The 15,458-nt window shown below is 49.9% G+C and overlaps 1 long non-coding RNA gene and 1 other non-coding gene across 2 annotated transcripts in view, besides 5 other annotated features; one reads left to right on the forward strand and one right to left on the reverse strand.

Moving 5' to 3' along the window:
- LOC105371082 (uncharacterized) overlaps positions 1-15,458 on the forward strand; it is a 146,190-nt gene that overhangs the window by 47,307 nt on the left and 83,425 nt on the right. The window lies entirely within an intron of this gene.
- Positions 576-755: an enhancer, noted in NCBI's record as "active region_10430". NCBI's record gives its function as "activates an Ori minimal core promoter by ATAC-STARR-seq in GM12878 lymphoblastoid cells {active_cell/tissue: GM12878}" and the evidence as "EXISTENCE:reporter gene assay evidence [ECO:0000049][PMID:35858748]".
- Positions 887-1,570: an enhancer, noted in NCBI's record as "H3K27ac-H3K4me1 hESC enhancer chr16:11391651-11392334 (GRCh37/hg19 assembly coordinates)". NCBI's record gives its function as "activates a minimal SCP1, AML or CMV promoter by ChIP-STARR-seq in primed H9 embryonic stem cells {active_cell/tissue: H9 hESC(primed)}" and the evidence as "EXISTENCE:reporter gene assay evidence [ECO:0000049][PMID:30033119]".
- Positions 2,024-2,073: an enhancer, noted in NCBI's record as "active region_10431". NCBI's record gives its function as "activates an Ori minimal core promoter by ATAC-STARR-seq in GM12878 lymphoblastoid cells {active_cell/tissue: GM12878}" and the evidence as "EXISTENCE:reporter gene assay evidence [ECO:0000049][PMID:35858748]".
- Positions 9,533-9,620, reverse strand: MIR548H2 (microRNA 548h-2). Its single transcript, NR_031678.1, has one exon. It is a non-coding gene; the product is annotated as a microRNA 548h-2 (primary transcript).
- Positions 14,825-15,119: an enhancer, noted in NCBI's record as "tiled region #10157; HepG2 Activating DNase matched - State 5:Enh". NCBI's record gives its function as "activates a minimal TATA promoter and a strong SV40 promoter by Sharpr-MPRA in HepG2 cells {active_cell/tissue: HepG2}" and the evidence as "EXISTENCE:reporter gene assay evidence [ECO:0000049][PMID:27701403]".
- Positions 14,825-15,119: a silencer, noted in NCBI's record as "tiled region #10157; K562 Repressive DNase unmatched - State 7:EnhWF". NCBI's record gives its function as "weakly represses a minimal TATA promoter and a strong SV40 promoter by Sharpr-MPRA in K562 cells {active_cell/tissue: K562}" and the evidence as "EXISTENCE:reporter gene assay evidence [ECO:0000049][PMID:27701403]".

Below are 15,458 nucleotides of genomic sequence, written 5' to 3' on the forward strand. Positions count from 1 at the left end.
AGTTGTACCAGTCACACCTCTGAGCTCCTAAAGCAGCTCTGGCAGCCAGGCAGGAAAACCATGGGCAGTTTCTTATAAAGTTAAACATTCACCTACGCTGAGACCCAGCAGTCCCACTCTCAGGTATTTACCCAAGAGCAAAGAAAGCATGTGCCCATCAAGATCTGTGCACAGATATTCATAGGAGCTCTGCTCCTAATAATCCCAAACTGGGAAACGTCCCAAATATCCATCAACAGTGAGAATGGATAAACAAATTGAGGTACCTCCATACAATGGGACACTGCTCCCCAATAAAACATTGCAAACCATTGCACACACCACGTCATGCACCGCTCTCGCACGTGTTGTGTTGTGTGAAACAAACCAGACAAGAAGGGACGCATCCCAAGTGACTGATTGGTTTATGTACAGTTTAAGAACAGGCAAATCTCACTGCTATTTATAGATGGCACAGCAGTGGTTACCTCTGCTAGTGGGGCCGGGGGTCGCTTGTGTACTGGGAAGGGGCTCCAGGGAACCTTCTGGAGGCTGAGGGTGCCCTTGATCCTGATTTGAGTGGTGACTATATAGGTATAAAAAATGATCAAGCTGGACACTTAAAGTCAACATAGTTTATGCACTTTCACGTGTAAACATTATTCCTTAAGAAAATAAAAACAGCACCAGTGGCTCCCCCCTTCCCTGCAGACTCCCCCGACACCACCACCTCCTTCTTCGCCTTGCATCGGTACGATAAGGCACTTGCTTGACGGGAAAGAGAAACTCAGCTGCCAGCTGGGGTTCATTTGCACTTTCCCCCGCCTGGTCTGCGGTCTGGCTGTGCAGCTAGCCGCTCTGACGGGGAGGAGGGGCCCAAAGCCACTGCCTGCCGCCTGGGCAGGGGAGAGGGGCACGTGAGGCTCATGGCAGAGGCACAGCCAGCTTCTTGCATGTGCCCTCCCCGGGGAATGTCTGCAGAGCCCAAGACTGCCACGCCGTGGGCACAGCCCTGGCAACAAACAGCCACTTACCCAGTCACCATGCTCTACTTCTCAGCTGCAGCCCCACGGCCTGGACTCGCTTGCCCAGGCCCCCCAGCCACAAATCCTGGGCCCCTCCCTGAAACCTCCAGACACAAACTCACTTCAGGCTGGGGCCTTGGTTTCCCCATCTGGAAAAGGGGTGAAAAGCCCCATCTTTCCAGTGTAGCAGTCGAGGCATTTGCAGCAGGTGTTTGTGCTCAGTGTATCGATGTAGGAGGCTCTCAAAAAGGATGTAGAAAACATGAATAGTTATGAGTCCTGTTTTAATAAAATTAGAATAAAAAATAAAAGCCAGGCAAGGTGTTGTGCGCCTATAATCCCAGCTACTCATGAGGCTGAGGCGGGAGGATCACTTGAGCCCAGTTCAAGCCCAGCCTGGGCAGCATGATGAAACCCAATCTCTACACAAAATACAAAACATAGCTGAGCGTACTCCCTAGCTACTAGGGAAGCTGAGGTGGGAAGATTGCTTGAGCCCATGAGTTTGAGGCTGCAGTAAGCTTTGATCACACAAGTGCACTCTAGCCTGGGTTACAAAAAATAAAATAGGCCAGGCACAGCGGCTCACAGCTATAATCCCAGCTCTTTGTGAGGCTGAGGTGGGAGGATCACTTAAGCTCAGGAGTTTGAGACCAGTCTGGGCAACACAGCAAGACCCCATCTCTACAAAAAAATTTTTAAAAAATTAGCTAGGCATGGTGGCGTGTGCCTGTAGTCCCAGATACTCAGGAGCTTGAGGTGGAAGGATCACTGGAGCCCAGGAGTTCAAGGCTGCAGTGAGCTATGATTGCACCATTGCACTCCAGCCTGGGTGACAGAAAGACCCTGTCTTTAAAAAACAAACAAACAAACAAAAAGAGTGAAAGATAAACAAATAATTAAATTTAAAAATAAATAGAACTAGAAGAGGAAGCCCAAACTATTTCTGAATGTGTTCATCTGAGAAGAGGGCAAAATGTAAAATACACACCAATTGTTTCACCATTATTTTCCCCCGAAGTTCGGATTAAAGAAAGGGAGGGGATTAGCGCTTCAACACACCTCCCTTTGTCCTGGGTGTCGTGCTTCAGCATGTGTGGATGGTAGCTTTGTGGTTAAAAAAAAAAAAGAAGAAGAAATGAGAGCAAAAAGTACTTTGAGAACTCTTTGTAGCTGTCACGTCCCCAGACCCTGTGGTGAGAACCTCCAGGGACACCTGTGAACATGCATGTTCCCAGGCCCAGCCTCAGGGGTCTGCACGTTTAAGAAATGGATGCACTTGTCTAATGATGAGGGCAATGGTGCCGGACACTGCCCACGTGTCTGCTCTCTAGGACAAGCCCTTGAGACAAGTATCATTATCCCGTTTAAAGACGAGAAAACTGGCAGGGTGTGGTGGCTCACTCCTGTAATCCCAGCACTTTGGGAGGCCGAGGTGGGTGGATCACCTGAGGTCAGGAGTTCAAGACCAGACTGGCCAACATGGTGAAACCTTGTCTCTACTAAAAATACAAAGATTAGCCAGGCGTGGTGGCGCACACCTGTAATTCCAGCTACTCAGGAGGCTGAGGCGGGAGAATCGCTTGAACCCAGGAGGCAGAAGTTGCAGTGAGCTGAGATCATGCCACTGCACTCCAGCCTGGGCCACAGCATGACTCCGTCTCAAAAAATAATAATAATAACACAAAATAATAAAGATGAGGAGACTGAGGCCAGCATGGCTTTGATTCTGGCGTGAGAGTCCACAGTCTGGAAGTATCTGATTTGGCACTCCTATCCCTGAAGGCCCCACTTTACAGGTGGACCAACTGAAGCTGAGGGAGATGACCAGACTTATCCAAGGTCAGGGCCAATGAGGGGCACTCAGGTCTGAGGTTCCCTTCATTTCCCCCAGGGGAACCTGGTGAAAGTAAGCCATGGATTCACCCCCAGACTCTTCTCTTGTGCCCTGAAACCTGATTTCTCTAAGACCCACAGCCTAGGAAGGCTGGGCCAGGGTGAGCCTGGATAGCTGCTTCCCCCGCCATTCCCCCACCCACCCCAGGCCAGCAGGCAGTCATTTCTTGTTTTCTGCCACCGCTGGGTGTTCTGCTCTGACGAGGAGGCCCCAGGTAAACAGTAAGGCTGCCTGAACATGCACTGCTGGCTCGACCTTCCCCAGGCCCCCCAGCCACAAATCCTGGGCCCCTCCCTGAAACCTCCAAACACAAGACCCAGTTTTGCATCAAATGAGTCTGCAGAGGGAGGGAAAGGAAGCTGCCTGTGGAGTCAGGTGGAACCTGGTCAGGTGTGTTTGTGTCTCTGAGCCTCAGTTTCCTCATTTGGACACAGAGCTGGTAAGATCAGCCTTGTAGATTCTATGTAAGGATTAGAAACATCACCAGGGTAGGGCCTGGCACATGTGCTGAGAGGCCGGAGGGTGGTGGTTCTAGCAGGGGGTCTGGAGCCCAGTGCTTGGTTTAAGTCCCAGCATAGGACTTAACTTCCCTCTGTCCACCCAGGTCACACTCAGAGGATATCTGCTGAGCACCTATGGTATACCAGGCACTGTGCAGGGGTGCTCTTGGCCTCAGTTTCCCCATCTGTCCAATGACAACTCTCACGGCCATTGCCTAATAGGGCTGTTGGGAGGATTAAATACCTTAGCAGTGCCTGTCACAGCAAGCAACTGAGTTTGCTGCTTCAGGGGCAGTGCCCCTCACGGGATGATGGTGACTCGATGACAAGTAGGGCAGAGAGTGCAGGCTGGGCCAGGACTGCTTTCCAAATTGGGCCTCTCTGTTCCCTTGCTGGCCTGGATTTTGAAACGCCTTGCTCAGGCTGGCCAAGCGTTCTTGGTCCTCAGCATCTGTCTCTCTCCTGGTGGCCTGTCCAGAGATGCATGGTGGTTTCCATGGACACCTTCTTCCATAAAAAAGAGAAAATGAAATTGTACTTACGACCACATTGGTATAACGACAAACGTAATGCAGGATGGATTTGTTATTACATTGTCATCATGATCCCATGTGTTCTCCTCCTTTCTTTTAAAAGAACTTTAAATGAAAACATTTCCGTGGGCACCTGAAGTGTCATAGCCCCAGGAGCTGTGCCTGCTGAGCCCACAAGGGGTCCACCCTGGGTGGGCTTTTTCAGATTGTAAATCCCCCCCATTACCTCTTCTTAGAAGGTCACCCTTGCCCGGGCGCAGTGGCTTATGCCTTTAATCCCAGCACTTTGAGAGGCTGAGATGGAAGGATCACTTGAGCCCAGGAGTTCAAGACCAGCCTAGGCAACATAGTGAGACCCCATCTCTAATTTTAAAAACAAACAAAAAAACAAGCTAAGGTCATGTGCAGGTGTGTTTAAAAAATAACAAAAAATTGGCCAGGCACGGTGGCTTACGCCTGTAATCCCAGCACTTTGGGAGGCCAAGGCAGGCGGATCACGAGGTCAAGAGTTCGAGACCAGCCTGGTCAATATGGTGAAACCCTGTCTCTACTAAAAAAATACAAAAAATTAGCCAGGCATGGTAGGGTGCGCCTGTAGTCCCAGCTACTCGGGAGGCTGAGGAAGGAGAATTGCTTGAACCCAGGAGGCAGAAGTTGCAGTGAGCCAAGATCAGGCCACTGCACTCCAGCCTGGGTGACAGAGTGAGATTCCATCTCAAAATAAATAAATAAATAAATAAATAACAAAAAATAAGCAAAAAAAAAAAAAAAAAAACAAAGCCACCCTTGTTGTGTTAGAAACTTGGAACTTCCCAAGGAACAACATTCCCCATCTAGACCTCACTGTTCTGAAACCTACTCCTCCTGCCCTTTTCCTTTCCTACTTTCCCATTTAAAGTAGGGTGCAGAGGACCCTGCTTGCCAAAGCCATTTGACTGACTGTGAGACTGTAGCCATGACCATGGAAATCACAGCTGCTAGCAGTGGTGGAGTATTTCACATATTTCACGTAAACCACTGCTCTCCCCAGTAGACAGAAGCCCAGGGAAGCCACAGAACGTGCCCAGAGTTATGCAGTAAGTGATAGAATCAAGATCAGCCAGAGATCCCCTGAAGTGTCTGATCTTCTTCCCCACAATGTCATATAAAATATCAGCAAGACCCTCAGTGGTGGATGTGAACTTATTAATTATATACATTATATTCATTTCCCAACGTTGTGGTAACAAATTCCCACAGACTGGGTGGCTTAAAACAATAGAAATGTATTCTCTCATGGTTCTGGAGGCCAGAAGTTCAAAGTCAAGGTGTTGGCAGGCAGGGCTGGTTCCTCCCAGAGGCTCTAGGGGAGAATCTGTTCCATGCCTCTCCCTAGCTTCTGGGAGCTGCTGGCGACCCCCAATGCTCCTGGGTGTGGAGATGCATTAGTCACTCCAGTCTATGCCTCCCTCTTCACAAGGCCTCCTTTCCATTGTCTTCTACCCTTCTAAGTACACTTGTTGTTGGATTCAGGGCCCACCCTAATCCAGAATGATCTCATCTCTAGATCCTTCACTTAATCATGTTTGCAAAGATCCTATTTCCAAACAAAGTCACCTTCATAAGGCTTTGAAAGGGGTTAAGATGTGAACTTATCTTTTTGGGGCCAGTACACATGGGACACAGATGAGTGCCAAAAGGAATCCCAGGAAGCTGTCAAAAGCAACAATAAGGATGTGAATAAAAGTAATATCTTAGGCTGGGTATGGTGGCTCACACCTGTAATCCCAGTGCTTTAGGAGGCCAAGGCAGGAGGATCACTTGGGCCCAGGAATTTGAGACCAGCCTGGGCAACATAGTGAGACCCCACCTGTACAAAAAAGTTTAAAAATTAGCCAGAGGTGGTGGCACAAGCCTGTAATCCCAGCTACTTGGGAGGCTGAGGCAGGAGGATCATTTGAGGCCAGAAGTTCGAGACCTGCCTGGGCAACATAGCAAGACCCCATCTCTACAAAAAATAAAACAAAAATTAAATAGTAATATATTGGCATATGGCCCAGCACCTGGCATATGACAAGTACATATGTATGTATATATGTATGTGTATATTATATATATATATACACACACACATACATACTTTTCTTATATCTATAAAGTTTTCAATCTCAGAGAAAATGTTTGGATGCGCTGGTTTTGCCCAGTTTCAATGTTTTCCCAAACACTAGCAGGTCTCCTCCATCTCTCTTGACTTTGTTGAAACACCTTTAGTCTCGTTTTCTGTTTGGCAGATGGCCAGTGTTCCTGCAGCTGCTTCAGGTCTGTACAAGCCCCACTTGTGGACACTTTATCTGCAAAGGGGGCCCCTGATTTTTCCAGCCTGGGGCCTTTCCTCCTGCCTCTCTTGGCCCAAGATGCCTCCACCCTCCGCCTTTCACCTGTTGAGACGCATTTTGTAAAATAAGTTTGCCCTCTGTCTGCCCTTGTTACAGTAGGCAGTCAGACATAAGCAGGGCAGGAGAGGGTGCCCCCCAACCAGGACTGTCAGGCCACCATCAGGTGATGGTCAGGTGATTTAACTGTCTCTCCAAAATAATAATTGGTTGTAGCCAGCACTGAGGAAAGGCAGGCTCCCAATAGATTAAAAAACACCAGAAATATGATCAGCAGCTTTGCGATAAGATCTCAGAGTTGGCTCAAGCATGCATACTAAGAGGCAGAATGGCAGAGTCTGGTCTGTGACCTGCTTCTAGGAACGCTGGACTGGTAAGGGAAAAACGCCTCAAGTGAGCATGCGCACAACTTCAGTAAACACACTGCGCATGCTCCCCTCCCAAGGACAGGCAGGCCACGGCTAAGGGGACGGCCCACCCCAAGGGAAGGATCGGGAGAAGTAGTGCAACCCTGGAAGCGTGCCAGCATATAAGACCTCAAGTCAAATGGCAAAGTGGGCAGTTGACTCGTTCAAGTCGCCCGCCTGGCACTCTTCCAAGTGAACTTGACTTCCTTTCATTCCTGCCCTAAAACTTTTTAACAAATGTTCACTCCTGCTCTAGAGCTTGCCTCTCTTTGCCTTATGCCCCCTGCGTCGAATTCTTTCTTCGGAGGAGGCAAGAATTGAGGTTGCTGCAGACTCGTATGGACTCACTGCCGCTAACACACACTGGTGCCCTGTGACTCAGATATGTTCCCTAGTGCTAACATTCCCAGCTCCAAAAGAACTGGGTCAAGTCTGTCCTGTTTACATTGCTGGGTCCTTGTGCTGGAAAAGGAGCCCCCACCCGCCCCCACTCCACAAAACCATTTCCAATAGTCTTGAGATTTCTCACCCTGCCCCGACCCACCTTTCTGACTCCATCTCCCCCACCCCTCCACATGCGTTATGTTTCAGTTGCCGGAATTGAAATCACGTTGCCGTTCCCTCTGCCTGGAATGCTTTTCTGCATTAGGGCATGGCTGATGCCTTCCTAGCTTCCAGATCTCAGCAAAGTGTCCTGGGGCTGCTGTGCCTGGAAGGGACACATTTTGGGTGCCTCCTTACATTATCCGCCCATACCACTGGACAATCGGGTGCTCTGTCTTGCCTCTCTGTGTGCTAGCTGCTTCTCTCCACCAAATCACAATATCCTTAAGAACAAGGACGTTGTTTTGTTCATGGCTTCAGTCCCAGCACCTAGCAAGTCGTAAGTGCTTAGAAAATAATGTGTTCAGAGGCCAGGCGCGGTGGCTCACACCTGTAATCCCAGCACTTTGGGAGGCCGAGGCGGTCGGATCACGAGGTCAGGAGATCGAAACCATCCTGGCTAACACGGTGAAACCCTGTCTCTACTAAAAATACAAAAAATTAGCCGGGCGTGGTGGCGGGCGCCCGTAGTCCCAGCTACTAGGGAGGCTGAGGCAGGAGAATGGCATGAATCCGGGAGGCGGAGCTTGCAGTGAGCCAAGATTGCTCCACTGCACTCCAGCCTGGGTGGCAGAGACAGACCTTGTCTCAAAATAATAACAATAATAATAATAATAGTGTTCAATGTGTGAATTACATCATTCTCTCTCTCTGAAACAAGGGATTCAACTTACGGGTCATGGGTAGATTTCATGGTAGAGAATCTCCTAAAGTTGTAGGCAAAATATGGTCCCTGTGGAAGCATTTTTCTCACTGTGTCCATTTTAGGGGTCAGCATTCCCCAAAGACAGAACCTTCGCTTTACTTAAGTAATACTGCCTACCCCTGCAGTCGTCCTCTCCTTCCATTCTTGTTTCATTCTACTTGTTATTAAACATACACCAGGCCTCCTGTGCCAGTAGTTAAGGACACCAAACCATATGAGGGAAAGTCTCCGTCATGGTCATTTGGGTCTCACAGTGCCACGCATGCAGTCAGCATCTCATTCGTGCTGCCAAATGGAGGAAGGAAGTCAGATTCCACTTCAGCTGCGGAACCCCGGGCTGAAATGTTGCCTGTAATATCTACCCTGGAATCCCCAAGCAGAGAAAGCAGCATGAGTCTCAGCACTGGAAGCAGATGGAACCACCTGGAGGTTTCTACAGATCGTGGTGCCCCACCTCAGGCTACTTGGATCAGTGTGTCTCAGTTGGGGCACCAGCATCGGTATGTTTTAAAAGCTCCCGGGCCTGGCTGGGCGTGGTGGCTCACACCTGTAATCCCAGCACTTTGGGAGGCCGAGGCGGGCGGATCACAAGGTCAGGAGGTCGAGACCATCCTGGCTAACACAGTGCAACCCTGTCTCTACTAAAAATGCAAAAAATTAGCCAGGTGTGGTGGCGGATGCCTGTAATCCCAGCTACTTGGGAGGCTGAGGCAGGACAATGGCATGAACCCAGGAGGCGGAGCTTACAGTGTGCTGAGATGGCACCACTGCACTCTAACCTGGGCGACACAGCGAGACTCCGTCTCAAAAAAATTACAAATAAAAATAAAAAGTTCCCGAGGCATGCGATGGAATATTATTCAACAACAACAAAAAAGGAATGAGGTTCTGAGAACTGATTTTAAACCACGATACTACATTCAAACTACACCATGAGTGAACGTGGAAAACACGGTGTGTGGAAGAAGGCAGGCACAGAAGACCACTTATTATATGGTTCCATCTATGGGAAATGTCCAGAATAGGCAAATTCGTGGAGACAAAATTAGATTAAGCCTGGGCAGCATAGCAAAACCCCATCTCTATAAAAAGCAAAAAAATCTGGCCAGGCGCAGTGGCTCACACCTGTAATCCCAGAGATTCGGGAGGCCGAGGCGGGCAGATCACTTGAGGTCAGGAGTTCAAAACCAGCCTGGTCAACATGGCAAATGCTGTCTTTACTAAAAATACAAAAATTAGCTGGGCATGTTGGCACATGCCTGTTTTCCCAGCTACCCAGGAGGCTGAAGCAGGAGAATCGTTTGAACCCAGGAGGTGGAGGCTGCAGTGAGCTGAGATCACGCCACTACACTCCAGCCTGGGTGACAGAGTGAGACTATCTCAAAAAACAACAACAACAACAACAAAACCTTTTGTACACCCATGTTCATAGCAGCACTATTCACAATAGCCAAAATGTGGAAGCAACCCAGATGCCCATTAATGGGTGAATGGATGAACATGATGTGGTTTATATTAGGTTGGTGCAAAAGTAATTGTGGTGTTTGCCATTGAAAGTAATGACAAAAACCGCGATTACTTTTGCACCAACCTAATACACATTGCTATGGTCTGAACGCTTGGGCCCTCCGGCAATGCATATGATGAAATTCTCACCCCCACTGTGATGGTGCATTAGGAGGCGGGGCCTTTGGAAGGTGATTAGTTCATGAGGGCACAGCCCTCATGAATGGGATTAGCACCCTTATAAAACAATCCCATGAGAACGGGTTCACACCTTTCGCCATTAAAGATCCAACAAGAATCCTTCTTTCCGGTCTGTGAACCAATAAACAGGCCCCCAGCAGACATTGGATCTGCCAGCACCTTCATCTTGGACTTTTCAGCCTCCAGAACTGTAAGAAATAAACGTTTGGCCGGGTGCAGTGGCTCATGCCTCTAATCCCAGCACTTTGGGAGATCCGAGGCAGACAGATCACCTGAGGGAAGGAGTTCAAGACCAGCCTGGCCAACATGATGAAACTCCGTCTCTCCTAAAAGTACAAACATTGCCCAGGTGTGGTGGTGGGCGTCTGTAATCCCAGCCACTCGGGAGGCTGAGGCAGGAGAATCACTTGAACCTGGAGGCGGAGGTTGTAGTAAGCTGAGATTGCACTACTGTACTCCAGCCTGGGCAATAGGGTGAGACTCTCTCTTAAAAAAAAAAAAGAAGAAGAAGAAGAGAAAGAAATTTCTGTTGTTGATAAACTCCCTAGTTTATGGTAGTTTGTTATAGCAGCCCAGATTGACTAAGATAACATGTAGTGGAATATAATTCAGCCCTAAACAGGAAGAGAACTCTGACACATGCAACAGCATGGATGTGCCTCAAGGACATTATGCAAAGTGAAAGAAGCCAGTCATAAAAGGACACAGGTCATTTGATTCCACTCACAGGAGGTACCCGGAGAAGTCGGATTCAGAGAAACAGAAAGTGGAATAGTGGTTGCTGGGGCAGGAGGGAGGGGAAATGGGAGTTGCTTAACAGGTGGAAAGGTTCAGTTTTGTAACATGAAAAGAGTTCTGGAGCTGCATGGCGGTTATGGTTGCACAACAATGTAAAAATGTACTTAACATTTCTGAACTGTGCCCTTCAAATGGTTCAGGTGGTAAGTCATATGTGTATTTTATTACAATTAAAAATTTTCTTAGGCTGGGCGTGGTGGCTCACGCCTGTAATCTTGTTGCATGATCCTTGGGGTGCTGCTTTTATGGCCAGAAACCTCTGTGGCTGGTGGCATCTTTTGGCCAAGTTTTGCTTGGGCCCACTGGGCTAGTTCTGCCCACTCAGCCTGGCAGGCTGTGCTCGGCTCACACTACCAGCCTGGATCCCACCCTTGCTTGGGCAAGCCAGGTGTGGCACAGTGAGGGGTGTGTGAGCAAGTGCGCATGGGGTCTGGCCACTGTGCATAGTCAGGCACACTGGCTGCTACAACGGGGCAGGGACCAGGTGCCCGCACAGGCGCCAGCTCTCTGCGAGGCTGCGGCGGGACCAGGTGTACCACAGGCAGCCTCCACGGCTGCCACTGGGGAATGCATTGGTGCCTGGAAGCCTGGAGGCTCCAGGAACCACAGGGCCCCAAAGAGGGAGTCCCAGTCCTGACTTGGGCTCCCAGGTCTGGGCTCCCTGAAGGGCCACAGCTCTTCTCTCCTTCTCTTCACCCACAATATGGCAAGCAACGGGCGTGTTTCTGCCCTGTTTGTGTTACAGTTCCTTCAGCCCTGCCATTCGGCAGTTCCCGAGTTCTTGTCTTGCTTCCAAGAAGAATGAGGTACGCAGACAAGCGTAGGGCGAACAAGGTGATGAAGAGCTTTATTGAGTGACAGAATAGCTCAGAGGAGGCCTTGGAGTGGGTAGCTGCTCTCTGCAGCTGGTTGACCTGACGTCTGCTCAGCTCTGGCTGAGTCCGGTGCTTTTATGGGTCTCAGAGAAGAGGAAATGCATGCCAAACGGTCCATGGGTGGCCGTGAGTGGGCCCAGAAAAGGCACCACAAGTTCCCACTCTGGTCCTGTGGGACTGGCAGCCTGGCCCACAGCCTTCGGACCCTCCCTGGGTGAAGGTGGGGCCTCACCGGGGACCCAGCGCCTGCACCAAGGAACCTGTCTGCCTCTTGCTGCCGTTCATGGGCCCAGGCTGTAGGTGCCAAGGGGTGCCTGCAGGTCAGCACCAAGCTGCCCTCAGCTCCCCTTCAACTTCCCTTCTATGCTTGTCAGTGCTCAAAGTCCAGAGGGGGCTGAGGCAGCAGGGGACTAGCATGTCAGCACTGCCCCGGGTGTTCACACCTGGCCGGGCTTTGCTTTGCTCCAAGATCAGAGTGGGCACCGACAGCAGGGAGAAGCCAGGCAGTGGGAGCAGGCACTTCTGAGCCTGTGAGGGGAGGGGGGTCTTCCTGGGCCACCAAGAGTGCAGGGATGCCTGGGTCCACAGCTGCAATTTGGGCAGCTGCAGGTGTGCTGGAGACAGGGAGTGCAAGGCTTCTGCCTGCTCTGTGGGGTGGGAGGCCTGAATCTGCAGCTGTGGTTTGGGTGGCTGCAGCTGTACCCAGGAGGGGGCAGGGCTCCTGCCTGCTCCATGGAGCGGGACGCCCAGGTCTGCAGGCACGACTTGGGCAGTTGTGGCTGCATCCGGGAAGCTCCCACCCCACTAACTCAAAAGGGGCGGGGCTCCCACTTGTCCCCAGCTCCTGCCACCTCCAGAGAATGTGCAGCCCCAGCCATGCCTCCTTGCTGCAGCTGGAGTGACGGCAGAGGCCGCTCCACATGGGCCACCGCTGCCATCAATCCTAGCACTTTGGGAGGCTGAGGCAGGAGAATTGCTTGAGCCCAGGAGTTCAAGACCAGCCTGGGCAACAGAGCCAGACCCTGTCTCTACAAAAAATAAAAAACTAGCCAGGCATGGTGGCACACACCTGTGGTCCCATCTATTCAGGAGGCTGAGGTGGGAGGATCCCTTGAACCCAGGAGTTTGAGGCTACAGTGAGCCACTCCACTCCAGCCTCTGCTCTCCAGCCTGGGCAACAGAGCCAGACCCTGTCTCTAAAAAATACAAAAATAAAATAAAGATACAAAAAGTTTTTAAAATTATTGGCAGAACGCGGCGGCTCATGCCTGTAATCCCAGCACTTTGAGAGACCGAGGCAGGCAGATCACTCGAGGTCAGGAGTTCGAGACCAGCCTGGCTAACATGGTGAAACCCTGTCTCTACTAAAAATACAAAAATTAGCTGGGCGTGGTGGCAGGCGCCTGTAATCCCAGCAACTCGGGAGGCTGAGGCAGGAGAATCACTTGAACCCGGGGGGTGGAGATTGCAGTGAGCCGAGTTTGTGCCACTGCACTCCAGCTTAGGCAACAGAGTGACACCCTGTCTTAAAAAAAAAAATTATTATGGTATGCAGTAAGGTCCACAAATCTTCCAAGGAATTGTACATGAGTACACACTCGTGTGGTGACCACCCAGACTGAGATAGAGAACAGTGCCAGCTTCCTGCCTATTCAGTCCCTCTCTTCCCTCCCCCCAGCTCCCTGGGGATCAGACTGTATCACCAGAGTCTGTTTCTGTGACCAAACGTCCTATAAACAGAATCACGTGGTGTATGCTTCTCTGTGCCTGGCTTCCTCCTCTGAACATGATGTCCAGGTGCTTCACCTTGTTGATGTGTGCAGTTGTTTCTTTGTTTTGTTTTCTGAGACTGGTTTTCATTCTGTTGCCCAGGCTGGAGTACGGTGGTGTGATCATAGCGCCCTGCAGCCTTGACCTCCTGGGCTCAAGTGATCCTGCACGTCAGCCTTTCCAGTTGCTGGGACTACAGACACAGGCCACCACACTGGCTGATTTTTGTATCTTTTTCTAGAGATGTGGTTTCACCATGTTGCCCAGGTTGGTCTTGAACTCCTGGGCTCAAGTGCTCCACCCACCTTGGCCTCCCAAAGTGCTGGGATTACAAGTTTGAGCCACTGAACTCAGCCTGTTATGTGCAGTTGTATCCATTCCTTCTCACTGCTGTGTAATATTCCACTGTCTGAATAGACCATAGGTTTATCTGACCTGATGTCAACAAGCTCTGCTGTTCCCAGTTTGGAGCTGTCATGAATAGCGCTGATGTGTGTGTGCTTGAACGTGTCTTTTGGAGAACGTACCACCACATTTCTGTTGGACATATCCTTGGAAGTGGGATTGTGGGGTCATAGGCTGTGTATGTGCCCAGCCTCGGGAAATCTGTGGCAAGCAGATTTCTGAAACATTGCACCAACTTACGTTCACAGCAGCAGTGAGTGGGGGTTCCAGTTGCTCCCCATCCTCACCACTCTTGGTTTTGCCATTTTCACTTTGCACCTTCTGGTGGGTGTGTTGTGTGTGGGCAGCTCCTTATTTCAAAGTGATCAAGGTTAGGGCTCACTGGTGAGCCCAGGCCACAGGCTCTGGGATATGTGTGGGTATCATGAGACCTTCCGTGAAGAATCTCTGGTTGGAGGGCCTTGAAGACCAGCTCTTGTCCAGTAAAGGCTCCTATGGAACGTATAGAATTACCCGGCGCTTGTTAGAAATGCAGACTCTTGGCTGGGCACGGTGGCCCATGCCTGTAATCCCAGCACTTTGGGAGGACAAGGCAGGAAGATCCCTGGAGCCCAGAAGTTCAAGACCAGCCTGGGCAACATGGCGAAACTGAAACTGACCCAATAGTCCCATAGATAGTTTTTTGGATAAACAAAGAAATTGACCCTTCTTGTCTTAAAACTTGAAGCTTTTATTTGTTTACGTGAGTTCTATATCAGGAAAGGACCTTCAGGCCTCTCAAAAAAGTATCAAAGAACTGAAACTAACCACCACATCCAGACAATGAGATGTGGAGGGGCAGGGAGGGGCCCTCATTCATCACGATTGTTTCCTTGCCCCTCCTAGTTCCTGTTTTCTTGCACATCGTTACATTTCTTTCCTGCTGTATAAACCCCTAGTTTTAGTTGGTCAGGGAGGTGGGTTTGTGGCTGACCTCCCATCTGCTTGGCTGCCAGCACCGGATTAAAGCCTTCATCCTTTCCTTGGTAATACTCGTCATCTCAGTCATTGGCTTTCTGTGTGGCGAGCAGCAGGACCTAGTCTGAACCTCTGGTGTCTTGGTAACAAAACCCACCTCTACAAAAAAAAAAAAAAAAAAAAAAAAAAAAATATATATATATATATATATATATATATATATATAAAACCCAGGAGGTGGAGGTTACAGTGAACTGAGATTGCACCATTGCACTCCATATATATATATATATATATGTACATATGCATGCCTGTAGTCCCAGCTACTCTGGAGGCTGAGGTGGGAGGATGGATTGAGCCCAGGAGTTCAAGGCTGCAGTGAGTCATGATTGCGCCACTGCCCTCCAGCCTGGGCAACAGAGCAAGACAGTGTGTCAAAACAAAAACAAAAACCAAAAACCAGACTCTGTGGCTCACCTCCCACTCACAGGGTCAGGAACTCAAGAGGGGCCCAGCACGAGGTATTTTCACAGACCTGCCTGTGAGAGCCTCTGCCCAGAGCTCAGTGGTGAGGACAAGCGCTCTGCCTTTCCATAGCTCCATGGCCTTGGACTCAGTGCTTACCCTGTCTGGCCTCAGTTTTCTCGTTTGTAAAATGAGCATAATAACAGGACCCACTTCATAGGATGTTTTGGGGATTAAAGGGACTCATGTTTGTACTATGCTTGAAACAGTCCTTGGCACCTAGCTAGCACTCAATAAATGGCCGTAAAATTTAAAGTTAAGGCCCTGGCCAGGCACGGTGGCTCACGCCTGTAATCCCAGCACTTTGGGAGGCCGTGGTGGGTGGATCACCTGAGTTCAGGAGTTTGAGACCAGCTTGTCCAACATGGCAAAACCCTGTCTCTACTAAAAATACAAAAA

Source organism: Homo sapiens, chromosome 16 (assembly GCF_000001405.40).
Source record: "Homo sapiens chromosome 16, GRCh38.p14 Primary Assembly".
In the NCBI taxonomy this organism is placed as follows: domain Eukaryota; kingdom Metazoa; phylum Chordata; class Mammalia; order Primates; family Hominidae; genus Homo; species Homo sapiens.